At 48.7% G+C, this 26361-nt stretch overlaps 1 annotated feature.

Moving 5' to 3' along the window:
• Positions 9320-9994: an enhancer, noted in NCBI's record as "H3K4me1 hESC enhancer chr18:60278845-60279519 (GRCh37/hg19 assembly coordinates)". NCBI's record gives its function as "activates a minimal SCP1, AML or CMV promoter by ChIP-STARR-seq in naive H9 embryonic stem cells {active_cell/tissue: H9 hESC(naive)}" and the evidence as "EXISTENCE:reporter gene assay evidence [ECO:0000049][PMID:30033119]".

Below are 26361 nucleotides of genomic sequence, written 5' to 3'. Positions count from 1 at the left end.
CTTCCTGGCTCTTTTTCTACTTTAAGATCTTCCCTTTTCAGCAACCTTTGCCTTGATGTCTAATTCCAACTGTAACTTAAAATCAGAACCACAGAAAGATATGATCAGGTAGAAGTTGATTTCTATTTTTTTTTTTTTTTTTTTGAGACAGAGTTTCGTTCTTGTTGCCCAGGCTGGAGTGCAATGGCGCCATCTCGGCTCACTGCAACCTCCACCTCCCGAGTTCAAGCGATTCTCCTGCCTCAGCCTCCCAAGTAACTGAGATTACAGGCATGTGCCACCTCGCCCAGCTAATTTTGTATTTTTACAAACCAGTCTGGCCAATATGGTGAAACTCTGCCTCTACTAAAAATATAAAAATTAGACAGGGTTTCTCCATGTTGGTCAGGCTGTACTCAAACTCCTGACCTCAGGTGAACCGCCCGCCTCGGCCTTCCAAAGTGCAGGGATTATAGGCGTGAGCCACCGCAACCAGCCTGGAAGTTGATTTCTTATTTTTCTTTATTGGAGACTTTGGTTCCACAAATCTGTGGAAAAAAGCTGAAGCCTCTTAAATCATTCACAGAAGATTAAGTGACTGGCAAACGAGACATTGGGCTTTCCTCCTATTGAAACCAAGTTATTAGTATATTAATATTGTATCTATTCACCACTTGCTAATTCTGTTTTACTAGCAATCTAATAGTGGGGGAAGCTTCCACTTAAGACTCTTTTATAAGCTTGAGGGACACAGAGTCCTTATTAGTTTAATGTGCTGTTATGTAGATGTGAACATCAGAATCATGGTTAGGAGGGAATTTAAAATGTTCCCCCAGCATCATTCCAGACAGATGAGAAGCCATCCTTTAAAAATTCTCCGAGAAGAATCTTCCACAATCAACTATTTTAGCTCATCCCAGTGTTTAATAATCCTCATTGCCAAGAATATTTTTTTCCTTTAATGCAATCCTTTCTGCTGTAGTTTAAATTCATTTCTTACAGGCACTGTTAGTGGAGTTGAAGACACCATCATCCATGTTAGTTTTTAATGTAGACCTCTTATGTGCAGAAGAAAATTCTTTAATCTTTTCTCACTTTCCAACCCTTAGAAACTAAACTTTCAGCCGGGCATGGTGGCTCACACCTGTAATCCCAGCACTTTGGGAGGCCGAGGTGGGTGGATCACCTGAGGTCAGGAATTTGAGACCAGCCTGGCCAACACGGTGAAACCCCGTCTCTACTAAAAATACAAAAAAAAAAAAAAAAAAAAAAAGCTGGGCATGGTGGTGGGTACCTGTAATCCCAGCTACTCAGGAGGCTGAGACAGGAGAATCGCTTGAACCTGGCAGGTGGAGGTTGCAGTGTGCCAAGATTGTGCCATTGCACTCCAGCCTGGGCGACAAGAGCAAAACTCCAACTCAAAACAAAAACAAAAACAACTAACCTTTCCATCCTCTTTTGTACAGCCCAAGAATTTAGAAAGGACATCAAATATATCTGGTTTAGTAATTCTCAGATCAGGTGCTTCGGAATCACCTGAGAATTGATGCAATGAGAGAGTCGCCCTCCCCAGGTATGCCCCAGCCGAATCTTTGTGGGTGCCACTCCAGAATGGATTTTAACAATACCGGGTGATCCTGATATTGATGTTGTTTAGACAGTCATCGGGAACCCTTGACCCAGTCTAGTTTGTTCTTAGATTTCCTTATGACCTGCAAACGGACCACCTCCCACAACAGCCCACTCGCTACATCCCCAAGAACAGCTTGCTCATGGCCACAGCCCTTCCAATGGGAGAAAGTGGCTCCTCTTCCTAAGCCAAAATTTGCGTCCTTGAAGTTTCTTTTTCTTTTTCTTTTTTGAGACAAAGTCTCGCTCTGTCACCCAGGCTGGAGTGCGGTGATGTGATCTTGGCTCACTGCAACCTCTGCCTCCCGAGTTCAAGCGATTCTCCTGCCTCAGCCCCCCAAGTAGCTGGGACTAGAGGCACGCACCACCCTGCCCGGCTAATTTTTGTATTTTAGTAGAGACGAGGTTTCACCACGTTGGCCAGGCTGGCCTCGAACTCCTGATCTCAAGTGATCTCCCCGCCTCGGCTTCCCAAAGTGCTGGGATTGCAGGCGTGAGCCACTGTGCAGCCCCTTCCTTGAAGTTTCTATCAATTATGTTAGATGTGGCCTCCAGTATCAGAGTATTTCTAATTCTCTTCATTAACCTTTCCAACCCCAAGAATATACAAATTACATTTCTAGGCCAATATGAAAAAAAAAAAAAAAAAGGAATAGGCCAAGTGTGGCGGCTCACACCTGTAATCCCAGCACTTTAGGAGACTGAGGCAGAAGGATTACTTGAGCCCAGGAATTGGAGACCAGCCTGGGCAACATGGCGAAACCCTATCTCTACAAAAAATACAAAAATTAGCCAGGCATGGTGGTGCATGCCTGCAGTCCCAGCTACTCAGGAGGCTGAGGCGGGAGGATCACTTGAGCCTGGGAAATCAGAGCTGCAGTGAGCCATGATTGTGCCATGGCACTCCAGCCTGGGCAACAGAGCCAGCCCTGGTCACATACATGGTGAAACTTCCCATCCATTGTCCAAAAGCTCTTGCTTACCATCAGTATATCAATGAGAAAAGAGTTGTCAAAGATCTAACTCAGTGATTCTCAAACTTGAGTGTGAATCAGAACCACCCAAAGGGCTTGTTGAAACACAGATTGTCGGGCTCCACCCCCAGAGTATCTGATTCAGTAGGTCAGGGTGGGGACTGAGGTTTGGTTTTCTAATTAGTACCCAGGTGATGCTGTGGCTGGTGGTCCACAGACCACACTTTGAAAATCACTGGGCTAATTAATGCATGCTTAAGGCAGCATTTATCAGCCTATGGAATGAGCACCTGCTGTATCAGAATCGGGGGGGAAGCTTTAAAAATAACATATTTTTATAGGGCTTAGGAATCTGGAATTACAACAACATTGCAGGTAAATCCTCCTACAGAAATTTGAGAACCCCTTGACTATGGGTTTTATAGTTTAAAGAGATTTGGATAGGCCAGCGGTTCTCAAAGTGTGGTACCCGAATTACAACATCAGCATCACTTGGGAACTTGTTAGAAATGCAAATGCATCTTTTCTGAAAGATTTTATGTAAAAAAAAAAAGAAAAAAAAGAAATGCAATCCATGTTTTCACAATCCCTCTCAGTATTCTGAGGCACGTTGACCTTTGGGAGCCACTGGCACAGGCGAAGCTCAAAGAGGTGCCAACTCCTCATTATTTCCCCTGCATCTGCTTCTTCCTAGTTTGGTTTTGTATTTTTCACTAGAGAACATGTTCATTTATCCTTTGCCATTTCCTAAACTTTGAGGAGCTGCTATGCTAGCTGGGGAAGACGGCTCCCCTACAGAAAGGTTCTGAGTTTGAAGGAACCATACCTTTTTTTTAAATGTTTTCTTTTTCCTAACTCTGGTAAAATCTACGTAACATAAAAGCTACCATTTTAACCATGTTAAGTGTACAGTTACGTGGCACTAAGTACATTCATTTCCTTGTGCAACTATCTCCACTATGCATTATCTTCCCAAACTGAAACTGTGTATCCATTCAACAGTAACTCCCCATTCAGTTCTGCATGCTAACCATTGTATTCATGTGGTTGTGCAACCTGTCTCCAGAACTCTTATCATCTTGCAAACCTGCAACTCTGTGCCCGTTAAACAAGTCCCCTTTCCCTCTCCACCCAGCCCCTGGCAACCCACATTCTGCTTTCTGTCTCTATATATTATAAATTAACTATTTTGGATGCCTCATAGAAGTGGAATCATACAGTATTTGTCCTTTTATTTCACTTAGTATAATATCTTTAAGGTTCATCCATGTTGTTATCGGATGGAGATTTCCCTTTCTTTGTAAAAATTTTAATTGTATTTCTATATTTTAGAATCCCCTTCTTTGTAAAGGCTGACTCACACTCTACTGTATGTATGGACCACATTTTCTTTATCCGTTCATCCATCCATGGCATTGGCTTGTTTCTACCTTTTGACTACGATGAATAATGCTGTTATGAACACGTGTGTACAAATACCTGAGGCTTCTTTGCAGATTTCCTGGCTGAGTCCACTGAGGTTCCTTAGATACTGCCCCATCTCTTACTTGAGCCAAATATGAGGAAGATAAGAAATTGATTAATAATCTGGCAAAGTTTAGAATTAAGTCACAGCTAGGCACATTGGCCCACGCCTGTAATTCCAGCACTTGGAGAGGCTGAGGCAAGAGGATAGTGCATGCTTATAATGCCAGCTACTCAGGAGGCTGAGGCGGGAGGACCTTCAGGAGCCCAGGAGTTTGAGGCTGCAGCGAGTGCCTCAAGCCTGGGCGCTGCACTCCAGCCTGGGCGACAGAACGAGACCCTGTCTCTAAAAAATAATGAAAATTTTAAAAATGAGAATTAAGTTACTAGTTCAGGTATGGGTTCTGGGCTGTAGTTAAATGGTAAGTTTTTCTATCACTCCCAACTCTTGCTCCTGAAAACTCCCTCCTCAAAGTATATTCCGCAGGAAGGGGCGCATGCGTGTCTCGTACAGTGCCAGGCTCCTAGCCCCTGGGACTCTGGCCAGCTAAAAGAAGAGCCTGGTCTATGCATTGAATGACTAAACCATAATTGGAGCTCAGAATCCCTCAGTGAAGACTGGGGTGTCCCAGAACATCTCTCCCCCCTCGCCTAGTGTCCAGAACTGAGCTCTACCTAGCCCTTGCTGCTTACTCTGATGGCCATCCAAGCCGGTGCTCTCAGCGTGGAGCCCTTCCTGCCGTCCCAAAGCCCAGCCTTTCAGAGTCATTCCTGACCCCTTTCCTGGTCCTGCTGCCTTGCTTTTCCTGCTCCTGATGGCCAGCTGGGGTTTTGCCATATAGAGACTTCCGGGGGTCACTCTGGACTTCAGTCCACATTCCCTGCCTCCATCCTCCAATAGCGGCGGCGCTCCTGCCTCGCCTGTCTTTGGCCTCTGGGAGCTGCGCTCAGAATTAGCACGGAGAGACCCCGGCCTGCGTCACTCTGCTGTGCATCACGTCTGGAGCTCAGGTTGTGCAGGAAGTTGGAAAGAGGACAGAACACATACTCACTGGTTGATCTGCAGCTTCGTGGCCTTCGTGCCGGCAAGCCACAGCTGTCCAAGCAGGCCTGCGGGGCGGCAGAGGAAACTGTGAGATGTAAAGTCTTCTGGACTCAGAAGGCGGTGGGTTGGGGCCAGATGTGAGTCAAGAGATGCGGAAGATGTTTCATATTCCCCTTGATTCGTACCAGCTGCCCTGGGAACCCACAAATGGGACTGATGGTAGATGTTTATTTTCCAAAGGACACTTTCCTCATTTATCTTGAATTTGTCATTTAAATTCTTTGGGGGAGAATTAAAAACCCTGCTGGTGAATGAAAGACAATTCCTACCAAGTGAAACTTACCATTCTAGAAATGATTAGCCATCCCCTTCACCCTCACCTAACCATCTAGATGTTTTGGTCCAGTCGCCAAAGCTTGGATTTGAGCTCTAGGTCGAGGATGCTGTGGTCTCCTCGCATATTGAAGACTGTGCCAGTTCAACAAGTCTGACTCCCATCAGTCTTTCAGGCTCCTGTCATAGCAGTAGGAGGAGTCTGGAAGACAATGTTAGGTGCTGGGATCTCTGTTGAAGTCAGTGGAATGTGGAGAGTTTAGAATCAAAGCATTTGCCAGAATTATTCTGATACTCTAGAGGATTTGCTGTATGGATATGCTATACTAGTATGTCATTTATAAAAGCGTGTTTAGGCTGGGCATGGTGGCTCACACCTGTAATCCCAGCACTTTGGGAGGCTGAGGCGGGCGGATCATGAGGTCAAGAGATCGAGACCATCCTGGCTAACACGGTGAAACCCCGTCTCTACTAAAAATACAAAAAATTAGCTGGGCGTGGTGGCGGGCACCTGTAGTGCCAGCTACTCGGGAGGCTGAGGCAGGAGAATGGTGTGAACCCGGGAGGTGCAGCTTGCAGTGAGCTGAGATTGCGCCACTGCACTCCAGCCTGTGCGACAGAGCGAGACTCCGTCTCAAAAAAAAAAAAAAGCGTGTTTAGTATTTTCATCTTTATAATATTTATTGAGAGCTACGCATTTATAGCACTGTGCTGAAACTCTTTATATAACTGACGCCTCTGGCTAATATCTTTCATTGGCCACGTGAGCTTCAATTTGTATACTGTGTGAAAGCAGTGAAATTTTTGACTTTCAAATACCGTTCTTCAGTTGTCAGCAGGATAATAAAGTATTCAGAATTAGTTTGGTAGGCAATGCTTACTGGGCATATTATTGCCTTTTGCTTCTCTATTGCTACTTATAACACATTAAAGAAAATTATATTTTTGGAACCCATTTTCACACACACACACAGTTTGGAAGAGAGAAAAGAGATGGAGCTATTTTAGGATCTGTATTTTCAAAGAATAGCAACTCTCTAAGTGACAAGAGAGCAAGTAGAACCAACTTTATAATTAAAGGATGGTGTAGGTTGTAGAAAAGGGATGATACAGGTTTGGAATGATGAATAAGACAGTCCTTACTCTTAATAAGCTTGCGTTCTAGTGGAGTGTGGGAGACCAATACATCAAAATAGTAGTGACCACATGTCCCCAGTCCAAATTTGGGACATGTGGTCTCAAAAGAATGAGTGCACTTTCTGGGGACAACTGGACCACCTGTTTGAAATGTTAGCAGATTTAGGACATGTAGTTGCCATACTTAGAACAGAAGATGGGGTAAGAAAAGCTGTTCAGGAGGCATGTGTAGTTGCTATGCAGCTTCGGGGAGGAAGCGCTCACAGCATCACACTCTCCTTCAGGCTCCACGAAGCAGCTAGCTCAGCGCCTACTTCTGGATCGTCTACCCTTTGCCAGGTACTAAACTAATGGTTGCCGTGCCATGCTCCAGAGCAGCTATGCACTTCCCTTTAAACCAGTCACATGCGTGTGTGAGCTGGCTGTCTGGGCCTGGGTCTTGAAGAAACTTCCCTCTTTCGGTTCATACACATGTGTGTGCAAGGAGACTGTCGGGGTGAAGAGGCTCTGACACTTTAGGGTGGCATCAGGGGCACAGGCTCTCCCCTAAATTCAACTTCAGAAATACAGATTTAAAACAATTCTTTTGAGAAATATTGCATATCTATGAAACCAAAAAAAAAAAAGGAGAAGAAAAACAAAAGAAAGAAAAAAATCCGGCGGGTGGATCACGAGGTCAGGAGATTGAGACCATCCTGGCTAACATGGTGAAACCCCATCTCTATTAAAAATACAAAAAATTAGCCGGGCGTGGTGGTGGACACCTGTAGTCCCAGCTACTTGGGAGGCTGAGGCAGGAGAATGGCGTGAACCCGGGAGGCAGAGCTTGCAGTGAGCCGAGATTGCACCACTGCACTCCAGCCTGGGTGACAGAGCAAGACTCCATCTCAAAAAAAAAAAAAAAGAAAAAAAAGAAAAAAAAATCCATTTGACATGAAGGGGACTGGATATTCATATATTGCTAGTGGTACTAACAATAGATGTATTCTTTATTTATTTTTTTTTTTTTTGAGACAGAGTCTCACTCTGTCACCCAGGCTGGAGTGCAGTGGTGCGCTCTTGGTTCACTGAAACTTCCAACCCTTGGGTTCAAGCAATTCTCATGCCTCAGCCTCCTGCGTAGCTGGGATTACAGGCATGTGCCACCACGCCTGGCTAATTTTGTATTTTTAGTACAGACAGAGTTTCATCATGTTGGCCAGGCTGGTCTTGAACTCCTGATCTTAGGTGATCCACCTGTCTCGGCCTCCCAAAGTGCTGGGATTATAGGCATGAGCCACCATGCCCGGCTTGCGTATTCTTATAGAAAAGGAATCTGACACTATGTGAGAGGGCATCAAACACTTTAGACCCTTTGATCCAATAGTTTCACTTGGGAAAACGTACCTCAAAATGAAAACACAAAACATTGATTTTCTTTTCTATAAAAAAATCAATTGCAGCACTGTAAAATGAACAATGGGAAACAACCAATACTCCACAATGGGAAAACATTAATTAATAAAATCTTTTTAGCCCCTAGACATCGTGAGAGTACACCAGTAAATGAGAATGTGTAGATGAAATATTTAGTGAAGAAAAGTAGAACATGAAATTATATGTACATACTGATTACAACCTTGTAAGCTGATGGAGATACCAATTTATATCCAAAGAGACTTTTTAGGAAAGGAACAGCTGTTTAGTATTGATGAGATTTTTCTGTAAGTTGTTGGCATTGATATTTTTTTAAGAAGGAAGAGTGAGTATGGCAGGGGTGTTAGTTGAACTATGAGTCTTGAATCTCACTGAGTTTTTTGTTGGTTTATGTTATTGAGAGGCATGGTGCAAGTACTTTGTGACTAAGAGTGAAAGGACCATTCTTTGGTTTATTATAATATATTAATAAACTAGAGGTGATTCAAGTGTCTCTACAATGAAGTCACTACCACACGCTTGCATTTTGAGATGCTTTCTTTAGTGGCGGCAGAAGGGACAGAGCCACTTGCCACTTTGTAGTTATTATTGGCTCCTGGTCCTGCAAGTGTGAATGTCAGCTGTCATTCACATGAGGGAAGTTGGAACTGACGAACTGTCGTGATGTGTATGACAGTCTTGTTCCCTAATCATTAATACCATGCCACCTGATCTCTTCAGTCTCAGAAATAATTACATTTCCTCTTTCCTTCTCATGTGAAAGCCTGCCCACTGGAGTAGGCAGGAGAGTAGGTCCTTCCTACCCCCTCTCTTGCCAACAGGAAGGCCTCTCAGCTAAGATCCCCAAAGGAGCAGTGCCCAGGTGTTCTCTGCAGCTTCCCCGTCTTGACGACCTCCTAGTTATGACATCCACTAAATGCTTTCCTTGAGCTCTCTGCAGCATTGCATGCTGGAACCACTCGTCTCCTTGAAACTTTCCTTGGGGTTATGCCTGACTCTAGCACTTAGGAGAAGCTTATGTAGAAGATCAGGCAAAAAAGGGCTTCCCCTCCGCGGAAGGCTGGCACTTCTGCACTCCCTCGGGGCCACCCTGATACCATGCAGAGAACAGAGTAGAGAGGCAGGGTTCAACCCCCCATGGGGCTGCTTCCCTGCCAGTCTGTCTGGCATCCTAACTCCATAAGGTGGCAGCAGGGCAGGAGATTTCTGACACCAGAGAGACCTGACAGCAAGAAGCCTGCAGAAGCAGCCAGACCCAGCCAGACCCAGACCCAGGATTGAGAGTGGGTCTAGGAACCACTCCTCTGTGCACTTAAGCTGCAGCCAGGCCATTCGGAAGGAAGTAAGGACATTTCCCCCTGGAATCGCCTAGCTTCTGTCAGCTCTGTGTGACATGGATGGAAATACATCCCACTTGCCTTGCTAGCAAAACTCCCCACCCCTGCAGAGTCAGCTGCAGGAACGGAGGCAGCCAGGATGGTGACGCAGGAGGGAGGGCGGCCTCCCCCACTCCACGGAGGGCCGCAGGAGCCAGCGGGCAGCAGATCTTTAGCCTGTAAAGGAGAAAGCAGCCAACCCGAGCCAGGTCGGGCCTCCCCAGCAACACCCTGTGTTGTGGTTCTGTCCCGCAGTCAGAGGCTGGTCCCTGACTTCCCTGGTTTCACGTGATAACCTGGGTATGAACAGGCAGGCCCTGACTGCTGCGGACAGGGGAACAGGGAGGCCCCAGCTGTCCTCCCCAAGTCGTGTGGCTGGTGGTGGCAGAGAGGCCGCTGACCCACAGATTCCCCTGTCACAGCCCCTGGAGGGGTGGCCACTCGCACTCCTGTGTGCAACTCTCCCCGAAGGCTTATCTCTGTTTGCAATGAGGAGAGACTCCTTTCTGGGTTTCCCGTCTTAATCCTGCGCCTGCAGGAATGCGCTGGTCAGCTTTTCCCAGGAAGCCCGGGTCTCTGTGGCTTTAGAGTTGGACGTCCTGGTGGTGGTCTCAAGGAGCGCCCAGGGCAGGAGACTGAGAAGGGGAGGTGGAGAGGGGCGCGTGTGTGCAGGCGCCGGTGGGGCGTGGGGTTCAGGACACAGCCTGACCCGATCCTGTCGCCGGGGCAGGAATGTGAGCCCTGGCAGCGGCAGGCCCAGTGGGTCTTGAGGGGAACAATACCTGAGCCCGTCACAGGCCACTAATGGGCTCCTTGGAACTGAAGAAAGAGAAAGAAAGTCGCTTCTCCCACGTGTGAACGTGCAAGGACAGCAGCCTCAGAGCAGGCGCTGGCGAGTGGCTTTCCCGCTCCCCTTCACCTGCTGATGGGAGCCTTTCCCAGCTGCTGGAGCCGGGGAGTAGGCGGCAGGTGGGCCCTGTCTGCAGGCTGCAGGGACGGCGGTGGAGGGACTGGGCTCCCTGCACTAAGGCAGCGGCGGCCCCTGTGACACTGACCGGTGAAAAAGGCTAGATAATCCCCAGGTCTCAGGGCAGAGCCTTACTTGGGCAATTAGCCCATCCCCCAAACAGCCGGTTTCCACCTCCTCATTTTCTGTCTTTCTCTGCCTGTGACTTCTCTCCCCCGCATTCACGGCCTTATTCCACCTTTCAAGGTCCTCTCCTGTTCTTTCTTTTTCCGCTCCATGCCCCTTTGCTCTTTCTCCCTCCTCCTCTTCTCTGATGCCGTCAGCTCCTGGTTCTAACTAAATAGAATGTGCAGCTTGTAGCCTAATGATATCCAGCCCCAGGGATTTGACAAAACACAAAACAGAAACAAACACCAGCCCGCCCAATCCCAAATCCCACCATCACCACCCCACAGCTGCGCTCACGGGCTACCACGGCGGTGAACAGCTGCCTCCGATCTGCTGTCGTTCCCTCTTTTCCAAATGACATCTTCCAATATCAAAGACACTGCCAGCTGTCAAAATAAGGCTTCATATTTTCACATATAGGACAATTACTGCTGAAAACAGATTATGCAAACACATAAACAAGTGAAGTGGAGGAAGGGGAGGCTGGTGGGTTGCTTCCTCCAAATTCATCCTTTTTACAGAAGCAGGGACTGAAATGACCTCCAGGTCCTTAGAATAGCAACTGACAAGCACATCCTCCCAGTCATAAAGCTTGCATCAAAGGAAAATAGGAAGAGGGATAAGAGTTTGATCTCTGGAGGAGAAAGACAGGGGAGGATGCAAAGTGCCTGAGACAAAGAGAAGGCAAAGCCTGGGAGTTAATTATTCGTTCTGCCCCCCCCACCCCCAACCCCAACATAACGATGCGTAATGAGCATGGAAGACAGCAAAGTGAATTTCTAACAAAGAAAATGAGGCAGCAAAGACAGGGCAACCCAGGGAAACTGGAGGAATAAGTAGGGTGACCTTCTTCTGCATTCCTTAATGTCGTCCTCCCTTCCTTGAGAAATACCACGAATGTACCCATCTCCCTGCTAAAATGACAAACAGCTGTTAACATCAAACTAAAGGCCCGGAATAGGACTGGAAGTTAGGGAATGAAGGTTCTTAGTCTTGCCCTGTAATCCTGAACAGAAAGTTGAAATGTTCTGTGTCTGTTTCGCCAGTTATGAGGTGGAATCCTAAAACCAGACCCCAGGATTGTGCTGAGGATCAAATGACATCATGGTTGGGAAAACAGCATGTGTCCCTCAAGGAGCCCTCCATGGGGGCGAGTGGTACTGTGTATGAAAATGCCAACACATTGGCAGCTTGTTGAAGTGACTGTGTTTATTTTTAAATGTCATTGAATTTCATATAACATAATGATAGTCTGCAGTGTGTGTTCACAGCACCTGCCCCACCCACAACTTCTACAATGAAGCCATCCAGCCTACAATCAAGCAACAAGGTCAAAATCAGATCAACATGGGGAAAGTACTCAGCTGCCCAGCTTTAAGGGGCGGGGGAGGGCCTTGCCACCCCCTGGCAATTAAGGCCTTGGGGCTTTGGTCTTTTGGGCCCAACTGTAGCTATTGAGAGCTGGCATCTCCAAAGCTGTGGTGACCCAGATGCACAGAGAGGCAAAATCACTCATCTCTAAGACAAGAGACCCCAGAGTGGGAATTGATGGGCAGCCCCCAGGGGTTCTGCAGGAAGTGTATCATCATAAAAATCTCAGCCTAGGCTTGGCGCAGTGGCTCACACCTGTAATCCCAGCACTTCAGGAGACTGAGGTGGGTGGATCACCAGAGGTCAGGAGTTTGAAACAAGCCTGGCCAACATGGTGAAAACCCATCTGTACTAAAAATAGAAAAATTAGCCGGGTATGGTGCCGGGCGCTTGTAATCCCAGCTATTCAGGAGGCCGAGGCAGGAGAATCTCTTGAACCTGGGAGGCAGAGGTTGCAGTGAGCTGAGATCATGCCACTGCACTCCAGCCTGGGCAACATGAATGAAACTCCATCTCAAAAAAAAAAAAAAAAAAAATCCCAGCCTAATAAAAAGGGACATGTCACTCTTAAACTAAGATTGCAGGGAGTTTTGGTTCCGCATTAATCCTGAGGTTTTTTTTTTGGTTTTTTTTGTTTGTTTGTTTTTTGAGACAGAGTTTCACTCTTGTTGCCCAGGCTGGAGTGCAATGGCGTGATCTTGGCTCACCGCAACCTACGCCTCCTGAGTTCAAGCTATTCTCCTGCCTCAGCCTCCCAAGTAGCTGGGACTAAAGGTGAGCGCCACCACACCCGGCTAATTTTTGTATTTTTAGTAGAGATGGACCAATCACCATATTGGTCTGGCTGGTCTCGAACTTCTGACCTCAGGTGATCCACCTGGCTCAGCCTCCCAAAGTGCTGGGATTACAGGCGTGAGTCACCACGCCCAGCCTAATCCTGAGATCTTGTAACACATCTGGAGAGCCAGGTGGCTTTACCTTTGATAAGGGCACCAGCAGACATGTGGCTCAACCCTCCCAGCAGAAAGAAACTCTGGAAGTCAGATACAGCAACCACAGAACTCACTTTAGTGCAAAGAAGTCAGGTCACATGGGGATCCCCAAATTCTCCTACCACCCATAGGTGGTCAGTGTAATGATGATGGTCCCACATTGTGAGGCTAGGAGAATGTCTGTAGGGCTCAGGACAGACTGGGGACAAGTTACCAAGAATAATGCTGCCCCTGCCACTGCTGAAATGTGTTGGTCCAGGACTCAAGTGGAGGAAGTGGCTCTCTTTCTGCCCATGCAGAAATTCCATTTTTGTTCCACCGTCTATAGAATTGATATTGGCAGTGGTTACATTAATCATTTATTACATGGATTGTAGAATGCAGAGAACTATCTAGAAAGGATCTCAACATAACCAGGGGAGAAATAGACTCTGTGATGAGCAAGTGGTTTCCGAAGGGGCCCTACCCTATTGTTTCTGGGGCAGTACCTGGATGTGGCTTTGGAGGAAGTGGAAACACTTCAGGCCTTGTGTTTAGATAGCTGGAGGGTATTAGGTGGGCGCATATTTGAAACCATATCCTGGAAGGTGAGTTCACGGGGCCTCTTAGGTCCATGCCTTTGCTAAGTGAAGCGAGCTGTCCCACTTTCAGCCATGGTGTATCACACAAGAGACACCCTCCCCCAGCTGACTAGAACAGAAATGACCCAATCCAAGGGGAAGCCAGTCACAAGATGGTCACTGTTACGGGTTGAATATGTTGAAGTCCCGACTCCCTAAATCTGTAAATCTGACCTTATCTGGACATAGGGAAAATTCCTTTACAGGTTTCAGAGGGAGCATGGCCCTGCTGCCACCTTGATTTTGGACTTCCAGCCTGCAGAACTGTGAGGCAATACATCTGTATTGTTTTAAGCCAGTCTGCCTATGGTAACGAATACAGCCAGGTACATGCCTACAGTGTGGCCCAGTTCCAAAAGCTAAGGAGACCTGTCACGGGTTGAATCGTGTCCTTCAAATTTATATGTCCTAACCTCCTGTACCTCCAATTTGACCTTATTTGGAAATAGGATCATTGCAGATGTAACTAAGATGAGGTTATACTGGAGTAGGGTGGCCCCAATCCAAACACAATGGGTGTCCTTCTAAAAGGGGGAACATTTGGATACAGAGACAGACACAGGGAGAATGTCGCGTGAAGAGGAAGCCAGAGGTCAGGGTCATGCATTACAAGCCGGGGAGTGCCAAAGATCGCCCGCAAAGCACCGGAAGCTGGGGGGAGGCTGGAACAGAAGCCCTGGCCCCGCCCTCAGGAGGAGCCAGCCCCACCAGCACCTTGATCTCGCACTGCGGCCTCCAGAACTACCGGGCGGCTTTTAAGCCGCCCAGTTGGTGGAACTTTTATTACAGCAGCCCTAGAGAGCGAATGCAGGGCTAGTGCAGGGCTCCCTCCTGGGAAATGAGCTAAGAAATACCACGAGAACAAGGCAGTTTCCGATGAAGGGTAATCGGAGAGGTCTAGAGACAGCACCATGGGCCGCATTGGTACCCAGCAGTAGGCAGAGGAGAGAGGGGCATGCATGGGAGGATGTCCAGGGGGAAGCACAGACTCATGAAGGAACGCCCCGGCCTGTCCACAGAGCCCTTCCCACCCTGACGGCACCCCCTCCAGCCATCTGGTCTCAAGCGATCCTCTTGCCTTGACCTCCCAAAGTGCTGGCACTACAGGTGCATGTCACTACACCTGGCCACCACCACCGCCTCCTCCTCCTCCCCCTTCTCCTCCTCCTCCTTCTTTTTTTTTTTTTTTTTCCCCAGTAACTTAAGCCTCTTGCTATGGAAAGAGCCTAACTAGAGCAAGTAGAATGGGCCCTATTGGCTCAGGAAATGCTAATATTCTATGGGTAATGGGAATCTGGTGATATAACAACTGTCCAGAAATTGGGCCTTCTGTGTTGTTATCCAACACAAAAGAGTATAGCTTTCTCAGGATCTCCAGCCCCAATACCTTTCAACACCCTAATGAGTGCACTCACTGCTTTACTTTGATGTTCCTTATTCCTGTTATCATTAATAAGATTAAGGGCTTCTTTTATTGTGGCTACTGCTGGAGACTTTCCATATTTTCTAAGCTGAAAAGCGGGAAGGAGGGGAAGAGGGAGAGCAAATGGATGGTTTCCTTTTCAAGGAGAGAATGGGGCTTGAAACAATCGCTGAGTCTTCCCAGCATTAAATGAAAAGAGAAAAAGCCAGGTACTCCTGGGGGACCTAGAGGAGGGCGCTTTTGGCCAGCGAGCTATTTCAAGGTTCTGCCAATTCCCCAAGGGGTATTTGCAGCAAGACCTTGCCAGAACCCTCTAGAGCCTCCTAGAATGCTGTCTGTTCCCCACCCCCACCCCCCACCAGCTAAACCCTGGTGCTTTGTAGGAGTGACTCACTCCTGAGGATCCAATAATGACTCCTAGAACTCTGTCCACTTGGACAAGTTGCCCCTATGCTCTGTTCACAGGCATAAGTCAGTGTTTAGAGTTGGGAATGGTTGTTTATTTGGAGATTAGGACTTTCTCATGAGGTTGTGGGGGTGGGGAGAGCGGGGGCCCTAGAAATTCTAGATCCACCACAGGCCAGGCCTGGCTTTTTAGACTTGTGTTAGGTGAGTACAAAAGAGGAGCCCCTGGGAGCATCCCAGACAGGGCTAAACCGTTGGATTGATGATACACTTGATTCCAAAGGGCTCGCTAGCAGGCTGGTGACCTACTTAGCGCTGTGTGGGGCAGCGGGGTGCACCTTTATGAGCCCTAAATAGGGACTGAGTAGCGCAGGAACGCCAGGCCACTGGCTCCCTGCTGATGAGTCTGGCCCCACACACTTCAATCCTAATAGTTTCTCCTTTGTCCTGGTGTCCAGGCAACCGGCGAGGGAGATTGCTGACCAAGCAGTGAGATGCCGCAGTGGTGGCGTGGTCACTTGGTTCTTCATAACTGGGAGCTGTGAGTGCAGGTCACACCAGGGCCTCTGTACCGCTTCCATCCCAGCCCCCACTTCCAGCTCACCTTAGCTCCGGGAGAAAAGGGGGATGTGGCCGGGCACGGTGGCTCACACTTGTAATCCTAGCACTTTGAGAGGCCAAGGTGGATAGATCATTTGAGGTCAGGAGTTCGAGACCAGCCTAGCCAACATGGTGAAAACCTGTCTCTACTAAAAATACAAAAATTAGCTGGATGTGGTGGTGGGCACCTGTAATCCCAGCTACTCGGGAGGCTGAGGCAGGAGAATAGCTTGAACCTGGGAGATGGAGGTTGCAGTGAGCTGAGATCGCTCCATTGCACTCCAGCCTGGGAGACAATAGCAAAACTCCATCTCAAAAAAAAAAAAAAAAAAAAGAAAAGAAAAGAAAACAGGGATGCCAGTGAGATGTGGGGGCCCTTGGGCAGGGGGTTTAACCTGGGGGCTTTGGATGGGTTTCTTAGAGTTCAAGACCCCTAGAAATGCCAGGCAACACCTTGTGGACACGTGCATTTATCTTGAAGATATCTGTGACTTCCAAAGGGTTAAAACTACTGACATACAAGTCTCCTTGATAGAAACAGCAAGCGGATGGGGCTCCCAGGGGTCTGTGGGTCAGAGTTAGGCATGCATGTGGCCCCTGTACTTCCTGACTGCTGTGCTAGCAGCTGGGAGTTGCCATCAGAATTGCATCTCATTGCAAATTAAAGGGCAGATTCAAAAAAAGAATCGCGTCCCTGTCACTGAGCAGTTTTGTGACCCTGAGTTTCTGACCCTCTTTGAAGAAGGACAAATGTGTTCACTGGATGTTGAAGATCAAACTCCTTCCCAAGGAGCACAGAGTCTTTTGTGGCTTCTGCTGCGCTTCTCCTCCTCCTCCTCCTCCTTCTTCTTCTCCTTCTCCTTCCCTTCTCCTCCCTTCTCCTTCTCCTTCTCCTCCTCCTCCTCCTCTTCCTCTTCTTCTTTTCTTCTTCTTCTTCTTCTTTTTTTTTTTTAAGACAGATTTTTGCTCTGTCGCCCAGGCTGGAGTGTGCAGTGGCGCGATCTCGGCTCACTGCAACCCCTGCCTCCCAGGTTCAAGCAATTCTCCTGCCTCAGCCTCCCAAGTAGCTGGGACTGCAGGTGCATGCCACCATGCCCAGCTAATTTTTTTGTATTTTAGTAGAGATGGGGTTTCACCGTGTTGCCCAGGCTGGTCTCGAACTCCTGAGCTCAGGCAATTCACCCGCCTCAGTCTCCTGAAGTGCTAGGATTACAGGCGTGAGCCACTGCACCCAGCCTGACTGTGGCCCACTTTCCTACCCACACCCCCAATTGCTGAAATTTCCTACATTCAAAACCTCTTCTGTGAATGTTCTCATCCAAAATCTGGCTTCATCCCGAGGACACTGCAGCTCCTGAGCCCTCTCAGCAAATGCCTGTCCTCTCTCCTCCGCCAGAGCGGGCATGTTCCTTCCTTGCTGCTCCCAGGACTCCCCTCCTCCTCCCTCAGCCCATCTCTCCCCTGCCCCACACACCCCTCCTACCCTCAGACGTGGTGATTCCAACACCCACAAACATGACATTTGCAATCCCCGAGCTATGCCTCTCCTTGCTCTCCCCGCCTCCCGCAATCTTCTAATCCACCCGACTCTGCTCCTCACTGTCATGGGGAACCCTAGTAGCGCAAACCTGCTGTCGGACGGCACCTCTTACCTTTCCAGCCCACTCTCTCACTCCCTCTGCCCTCAGCAATCCTTGAGTGCAGGGCGACCTTTCGGCCCATTGATCCACCTTCTCAGCAGCATCCTTTACCCCCTCCAAATCTCACTTATCTGCTTAAAATAAACTTCCTGGTTTAGCACTACAGAAAATTCCTTTTTTTTTTTTTTTTTTTTTAAAGATATAGGGTCTTGCTCTGTGGCCCAGGCTGGAATGCAGTGGCACAATCGTGGCTCACTGCTGCCTCAAACTCCTGGGCTCAAATGATCCTCCTGGCTCAGCCTCCTAAGTAGCTAGACTAACCAGCACACCCCACCATGCCTGGCAATTTTTTTTTTAATAAATGGGGGTCTCACTATGTTGCCCAGGCTGGCCTCAAATTCCTGGTCACAAGCTATCCTCTGGCCTCAGGTGTAGCTGGGATTACAGGCATGAGCCAACTCTCCCAGCCTCAAGAATTCCTTTCTTAACACCCTTAGATCCCTCGTTTTTTTTCTCCATCATGCCTTCCTGCAGAACCCCAAGTTTGGTTAAATCCAGCTCACTGCCTGCTCCAGGCCTGCACCCACACAGCTGTGCTCGGCTGAAGAAAGGCACACAGCCCTGGTGGGGTGGTCTCACATCAGATGACCACAGGCATCCAGGGGCCCTTCCCATTGCCCAGCAATCCGGTCCATCCCCCATCTTGGCCACCCCTGCACACATTTCCCTCTCAGCTCAGCCCCTGCATTGCCTCTTCATCTTCACGCTCAGTTGCTGACCTGGCTTTAATTTCACTTTACGAATTTCACCTCCCACCTTGCAGCATCTATGGCCACGTCATCCTCTGTCTTCTTTCAAGCTGCTTTGAGTGAATTGTTCCTGCTCCCCTGGGCACCAGATCCCAGCCTATTTCTCTGCTGTCCTTTAGAGCAAGACTATTCTGTTCACATTCACACTCACTCCATTTTCTTCGTTGACCCAACCCACCTCAATCAGACTTTCCCTCCACTACTTGGTGGAAGCTACTCTTGTCAATGACTCCCCTCATCGACCGATCGGCACCACTTGAATTAGCTGAGCCCACCTCCTCCTTGAGACGTGTTCTTCATGCGTCTTCCCAGACATCACACTCTTCTAGATTTTCCACCCACCTCCCAGACCCTTCCTGTACATCTACTGGCTGGTGCCTTCACCTCTCCCTGGCCCCCGGAGTGGCCCAGGGCTCTGTCTCTGGCCCTCATCTCCTCTCTGTCTGCATGGGCCAGCCTCCTAATGCATGTTGCCTATATGCTGATGTTCCTCTGGCATCTCTCCAGCCTCGGCCACTCCCTTGAGAACCATATTTTTTTGTTTGTTTGTTTTTTGTTTTGTTTTGTTTTTGTTTTTGCTTTTTGACAGTCTTGCTCTGTTTTTCAGGCTGGGGTGCAGTGGCACAATCTCAGCTCACTGCAACCTCCGCTTCCTGGGTTCAAGTGATTCTTGTGCCTCAGCCTCCTGAGTAGTTGGGATTACAGGCACATGCCACCATGCCTGGCTAATTTTTGTATTTTTAATAGAGATGGGGTTTCACCGTGTTGGCCAGGCTGGTCTCAAACTCCTGACCTCAGGTGATCTGTCTGCCTTGGCCTCCCAAAATGCTGGGATTACACGTGTGAGCCACTGCGCCCGGCCGAGAGCCACACTCTTATATCCAATGACCTAGTCTATGTCTCTGCTAGGGTTCCTAGCAGGCACCTCAAACTTAACATGCCTTTCCCAGCCAGAGTGTTCCCTGAGAACTTAAGCAGAGGCTCTATTCTTACAGCTGTTGAAGCCAAAAAAACACCGAGTGTGCCTCAACGCCTCTCCTTCCTCTCCCAGGCCACGTCCAACCCATCAGCCAATTCTAGTGGCTTTACTTTCAAACTACATCTGACATTCACGACTTATCATCATCTCTGCAAGCCCCACCCTGCTCTAAGCCACTGCGATTTCTTTCCTGGGTAATTGCAGCAGCCTTTCAGAAGCTGCCTTTGTGTGGCTGCTCTGTTCTCAGCATGGTGGCCATGGGGAACTCTTCAAACGTCTAAGTCAGAGCATGTCTCTCTCCTGCTCACAGCTCTCCAATGTCCTCATGTCACTCAGAGTCAAAGCCAAAGTCCTCAGAGACCCTCTATGACCCGGTGCCCTGTTACCTTCTGACGAGGATTCTCTCTCACCATGCCTGTCTCTGCTATGCGGACCCCTTTGCTGTTCTAGAAACACGTCAGGCCCACTCCCACCTCAATGACTGTGCGTGCCGTTCTCTCTGCCTGGAATGTGTTCTCTCACGTGTCCCCAGGCTGGACCTTTGCTCAGATGCCACCTTCTTCCCGAGGCCCTCCCTGGTCACTTTCCTCCCAGCTGCCCTCTCCTCGCCCTGCTCCTTACCCCAGGCCGCCCCATGTTCCTCCATACCACATGACACGATTGCACCTGACCCGTTTTCCCTCCATGCTTTGTGGCCGTCTGTCCTCCGCCAGATTCATAGGAAGGGGGACAGCTGTGTGTCTTTTGGTCAGTGTTGCTTCCTGGCATCTGGGAAACCTGTGAGTCTCTGTGCCATCGGCAGAGTGGTGAGCTGTTCTATGGGGCAGCAAAACTTGGTAAAACCATTGCCGGTGGAGACCTGAAGGGCAGACCACATGCCCCCTGAGCTGTGGGGAGACTCTGGGGAGGAGACTGGCGACTGGCAGGGAACAGGGTGTATTGCTGTCACTGGCGGTGCTAGGCCAGGTGTTACAAGAAGGACAGAAGGCTAGGAAGGACAGGCCAGTTGGCCAGAAGTGAGGCAAGTGGGTGGGAGAGAGCCCAGAAGTGTGGAGGTGGCAGAGTTGGAAAAGTTCATTGCTTCTAAATTCCAAGCTGCCAGAGATAAAAGATGGAAAAGAACTTTGAACAGCAAAGGCCCAGGAAAACATCTTGGTTGGACCTGCCCCCTTGCTAGGGCAGGGGACCCTCACAACGCCTGCGTCACAGAAAGGAGTCGGTCACTTCTACGAATTAGGGCTATTGCCCTTCCTCTTCTCAATGGAAATTGCATCATTTCTACTTCACCACTGTATGTGGGGTGTTGGGATGGGGGCGCATATGTACCCCTTTAGTTCATTGGTCACCAGAACAATAGGATCAGTCTCTAGTCCTAAGGAAGAACATGCGTGACAGAGATCCTGGATACAATGACTGATGGGACTTCGGGTTGTCTCCTCAGAGAAGGGGATGGGTGTGTCTGCAGCTGGGAAGAAGAATGAAGTGGTTTGGTGACCAGAAGGGTGTCCTGTGGCAGATGTGTTCCAGTCTTCTTTGTAGTTGAGTGGGGCTGTATTCCCAGTTTAGGCTGATGTAATACAAGCAAAGACTGGTCCATAAAAAATCACCGTTGTATAATCCTTCCTTTTATCTCCTCCCATGGGGACCTTGAAGGCCACATGTCAAGGATGTCAGTGTCACGAGATGGATGTAGCCTAGGTCCTTGAATGATGAAATGACACAGAGCCCTATCATCCCTTGATAACCCCTGCCCTCCCCCTACCTCTGCCTCAGAACATGCTGTACTTGCATTGGAAGCCACACTTTTATTGTGTTGGGTCGCTGAGCTTTCAGGGTTGTTAGAGTAGTTAGCCTAGCCTAGCTCATACAGCAGGTGCTCAATAACTATGGTAACAATCTTCGAATTTCAGAGCCCACACTTCTAACCACCAAACCTCTCTTGCTCGGCTTCCTGTATGCTTTCCCCTCCATTTCTTCCTGAAAGAAAATTCTTTTCTTAAAAATAATAGGTACTAGAACTGAACAACAAAAAACACAAGCTGGTTAAAAAATGGGCAAAGAACGTGAACAGACATTTCTCCAAAGATAATTCAAACAGCCAACAAACACATGAAAAAAATGCTCAACAGCATTAGTTACTAGGAAAATGCAAATCAAAACCACAATGAGATATCACTTCACACCCATTAGGATGGCTATTATTAAAAAACAGTCAGAAAATAACAAGTGTTGGTGAGGATGTAAAGAAACTGGAACCCTTGTGCACTGTTGGTGGGAATGTAGTTGTTGTAGTTGCTATGGAAAAAAGTACGGCAGTTTCTCAAAAAATTAAAAATAGAAGTACTACATGACCCAGTCATTCCATTTCTGGGTAGATGAATAAATAAACAAAAGGTGGGATATTCATACCATGGAATATAATTCAGCCTTAAAAGAGAAGAGAATTCTGACACAGGCTACCACATAGATGAATCTTGAATTCAATAAGTGAAATAAGCCAGTTACAAACGGACAAATCCTGTATAATTCTACATATGTGAGGTACCTAGAGTAGTCAAATTTACAGAGAAAAAAAACAGAATGGTGGTTGCCATGGGCTGGGGGAAGTGGAGAGGGAGATGGGGAGTTGTTTAATGGGTACAGAGTTTCAGAGTTGCAAGATGAAAAGCATCCTGGTGATTGGTTGTATAACAATGTGAATGTATTTGACACTATTGAACTGTACACTTAAAAATGGTTAAGGTGCTAAATTTTAAGTTATATGTGTTTTGCCACAATTAAACATTATTTAAAAATTTGAAGAAGTAAAATGTGTCCATATAAAAAATGACAAAGTATAAGGGAAGTAAGCAAAATCATCCTCCATCACCCCAATGGAGATAACCACTATTAAGCTATGATCACACCACTGCCCTCCAGCAATGGACTGATGGAAGGAGACCCTGACTGTAAAAAGAGAGGTGGGGGGGAAACACCACTGTTGAGGGTCTTTTTATGTAGCCAAAGTGGAGTGCTTTTATAAAACACTGATTCAACAGTTTAAAGCGAAAATTTAGTCTTGGTTGAGAAGGTAGTCCTATCACAGAAGGTGAGAATGATGCCACTTTTGGCTTCCAGGCAGACTGGAATAACTTCAGTATTTTTCTCTAAGTCTTCTAACTTGGATTTGGTGAACACTGTCTTTGTAAAACAAATGCAGAGATCTCAGTCATAGGCCAGTGTTTGCCCAAGTAAATTGGTTTTAGATTCAGGACGGCAAAAATTCATGCCTGGAGTATTTCTTCCTTTCATTCCCATACTCATCCATTGAGTAAGTATTTGTTGAATATCTACGTGCGCCGACACTGCGCTAGGGGCTCAGGAGACAGCAGTGAATGGGAGAGGACACTTACCTTCTAGCTGGAAAGCAAACAGCAGACAGGTAAACAAACTAACACAGAAATTGCAAACTGAGAAGTGGTTTGAAGGAAAGAAACGCCGTCATGCCATTGAAAGGAATGGGAAAGGAGAAGAGCTGAAACCTGCGGGATGCGAATAAACTCCCACTAAAAACACCAGAGATGCAAAAGACCATTAGATCATTCAGGTGCACAAAGTGAATACAGGCAATAGAGGTCAGAAGAGTGGTTACCTCCGGGGAGGGCACCGACTGGGGGAGGCACGAGGGAGCTTTCAGGTGTGCTGAACATGTCCTATATCTTGATCTGGGTGAATAGACTGTATAAGTACAATATTAGGGCAGCATTGGGGGTGGCTCACACCTGTAATCCCAGCACTTTGAGAGGCCGAAGTGGGCGGATCACTTGAGGTCAGGAGTTGAAGATCAGTCTGGCCAACATGGTGAAACCCCATCTCTACTATAAATACAAAAATTAGCCAGACATGGTGGCAGGCGCCTGCAGTCCCAGCTACTCCGGAGGCTGAGGTGGGAGAATCCCTTGAACCCGGGAGGCGGAGGTTGCAGTGAACCGAGATTGCACCACTGCACTCCAGCCTGGGAGACAGAGTGAGACGCCATCTCAAACAAACCAACAAAAATTATGTGAAAAGTCATTGAGTTGCATGCTTTAGGCATGTGCACTTTACTATATATATACATGTTATACCTTAATAAAAATAAAATACCCGCCTCCTCAAAAGGAAAAGGAAGCGGGAAGCATTCCAGATGGAAGAAATAATAAACACCAAGGCCTGCAGGTGGGGCCGCAGGAAGACAGGTGGAGTGCAGGGAAGGGGTAGTGAGATGAGGCTGGTGCACAGCAGACCAACAATGGAGATCCCTGGGGAGAGAATTGGGACTCAGGGATGGGGACCAGGGATTTTAATTTTTAACTCTGTTAAAAAATTTCACTGATAAACATGCCCTCATGCTTTATATGTCCCATTTTATTTTATTATTTTTTATTGAGACGGAGTCTCACTCTCTCGCCCAGGCTGGAGTGCAGTAGCGAGATCTCTGCTCTCTGCAAGCTCCCCCGCCCGGGTTCAAGCGATTCTCCTGCCTCAGCCTCCCAAGTACCTGAGATTACAGGCTCCCGCCACCACGCCCAGCTAATTTTTGTATTTTTAGTAGAGATGGGGTTTCACCATGTTGGCCAGGCTGGTCTCAAACTCCTGACCTCAAGTGATTCACCCGCCTCGACCTCCCAAAGTGCTGGGACTACAGGTGTGAGCCACCGCCTCCGGCCTATCTGTCCCATTTTAAAAACAAGTGAATGAAGTCATTTACTTTCTTTTTCAGAATGGCGCGTCCCACCTTTCCTCGGGGCTTGTTGTAAGGAAGTGAATGGCTTTGAAGGTCCTTTTCCTGTCTTGAGGGGGGAAAGATCCAGAGGCCGTGCAGCCTCCATAATTTCCGCTGATCAATGTGCCCTGGGAGGATACATCATTTCTTGATCAGAAGAGGAACAAAAGGGAACCCTGAGTGGAGAAGTTCCCCCCCCTCATTCATTCCATCGATGTTCATTGAGTGCTTATTAGACACAAGACCCTGCCTGTTTTGCAGACAAGAGTCCAGATCTCTCCCCTCTTAGTTCAGGATGAAATCAATACCTGAGACTCCAATCCTGAGGCAAATGGGATTAGGATCCCAGGGGCATGCAGAAAGGGAGGAGAAGGCGATCCACAGGGAAGGGAGATTCCTGGCTCCTTCACCTGTGGCGTTGGGAAGCGGAGAAGCAACTTCTAGACCACTACTTTCTGGGGATTTAGAAGGTACTGGAAGCTCTGTCTTGAACCTTTGGAAAGAACCCTTTCTCACCTTCGTCCACACCCACGTATGCTGGACGCACTCAAGGTTGGGTATGCCTCCGTGCCTCCCTCTCCGGGCACCTGTGGGACTAGCCGGCGCGGCGATGGGGACGCGCGGCTCCAGCGGCGCCCGGGCAGAGGACAGCGGCCACCCGGGCAGGCATCGCCGCAGGCGTCCCGCTCCGTGCGCGCTGCGCTCGGCGGCTGGATCTTCCTCTCCGCAGCCCTGCTGGCTCTCGGGGACGGACCATCGTCCTGAGTGTGGCCGGCTGCCGCGCGCATTTTCCCGGACATTTAGCATCCTTGGCCCTGGGCCTGACAACAGCTCACGTTTCAAACACCCCTGGAGGGCGGTGCGCCCGGGGTGATATCCTCTGGGCGCCTCTTTTGTTCGTAAAAGTGATTTGGAAACGCAAAGAGGAGTCTCCGCACTGGCCCGGGGACCGATGCAGCGGAAGGGTGCGAGAACAGCCCCTCTCTGCACCCCAGCTCCCACCCAAGCAAGGGGGCCGCTCAGTCCGACAGTCCCTGCGGCTTCCGGGGGCGCCCGAAGGCCCAGGGGTCTGGGGCGGACTTCGAATTGCTGACCCGCGCGGGAGCGGAGCTGAGGTGCTCGCGGGAGCGGCTTAGGGGATGGGGTCAGAGTGGGGTCCCGGGGAAGCAGAGCCCACCCGGTCGCACGGCTTGGCCGAGGGGTCGGGAACAGGAAAGCCAGCGAGGTCCCGGAGGGAGCCACTTCGAGGATCTGAACGCGAACCCGCCCAGAGCCCCGGCCCGCGCCGCCGTCCTCCGCAGTCCCGGCGCAAACAACACAGCGCGGCCCCCAGGCCCAGGGGAGGTTCCGTGTGACGGTCGCGTCCCAGGGCAGCACGGAGGGCACGACCCCAACACATATTTGTTGAACAAATAATTTTCAAAATATATATTTGGGGAGGAGGGCGTGGGCGGGCGAAACTGGCCACAGCACTGGCTGTCCGCGGCCAGAATTGGAAAGGGCCAGGTGGCTGGGCTTTTCTTCGTAGTCCCTGTGTCGTTTCCATTCCTTCATTCATCCAAAAAATGACAGATTTCTAGGGAAGCCAAACTCCTCGTTCGATTGTATTCTGGAATCCGGGTTAAGAATTGCCAAATTGTCAAAATAGGTTTAAGGAGTGGCCTCATTCCCAATCATCGCAGTTACATGACTGGTTCTGTATAGCCAGGTTCTGGAGACAAAACTGTATTTTAATGCCATTGGTTTTCTTTGTAATTCTATGTATATGACTTGGTGCACTTAAAAACATCATTCTGCGTAGGAGGTCTGCAGCTTCCCCTGGACACTAAAGGGTGCAGGGGCCATGGGCAGTGGCTGTGGCCTATAATCCCAATGTTTTGGGAGGCCGAGGTGGGAGGATCACTTGAGCCCAGGAGTCAGAGACCAGCCTGGGCAACATAGCAAGACTACATCTCTACATGAAAAAATAAAATAACATTAGCCAGGCTTGATGGTGTGTACCTGTAGTCCCAGCTACTTGGGAGGCTGAGGTAGAAGGACTTGCTTGAGCCTGTGAGGTCCAGGCTGTAGTGAACTGTGATCATGCCACTGCACTCCAGAGCCTGGGTGACAGATTGAGACCTCGTTCCTAAATAAATAAATGCATACTGCATACATACATACATACCTCTATCTCTTAAAAAAAAAAAAAAAAAAAAAAAAAAAGGCCGGGCGCGGTGGCTCACGCCTGTAATCCCAACACTTTGGGAGGCCGAGGTGGGCGGATCACGAGGTCAGGAGATCAAGACCA

This window comes from Homo sapiens, chromosome 18 (genome assembly GCF_000001405.40).
Source record: "Homo sapiens chromosome 18, GRCh38.p14 Primary Assembly".
NCBI classification, from domain to species: domain Eukaryota; kingdom Metazoa; phylum Chordata; class Mammalia; order Primates; family Hominidae; genus Homo; species Homo sapiens.
This window is presented reverse-complemented; position numbering and strand designations above follow the sequence as displayed.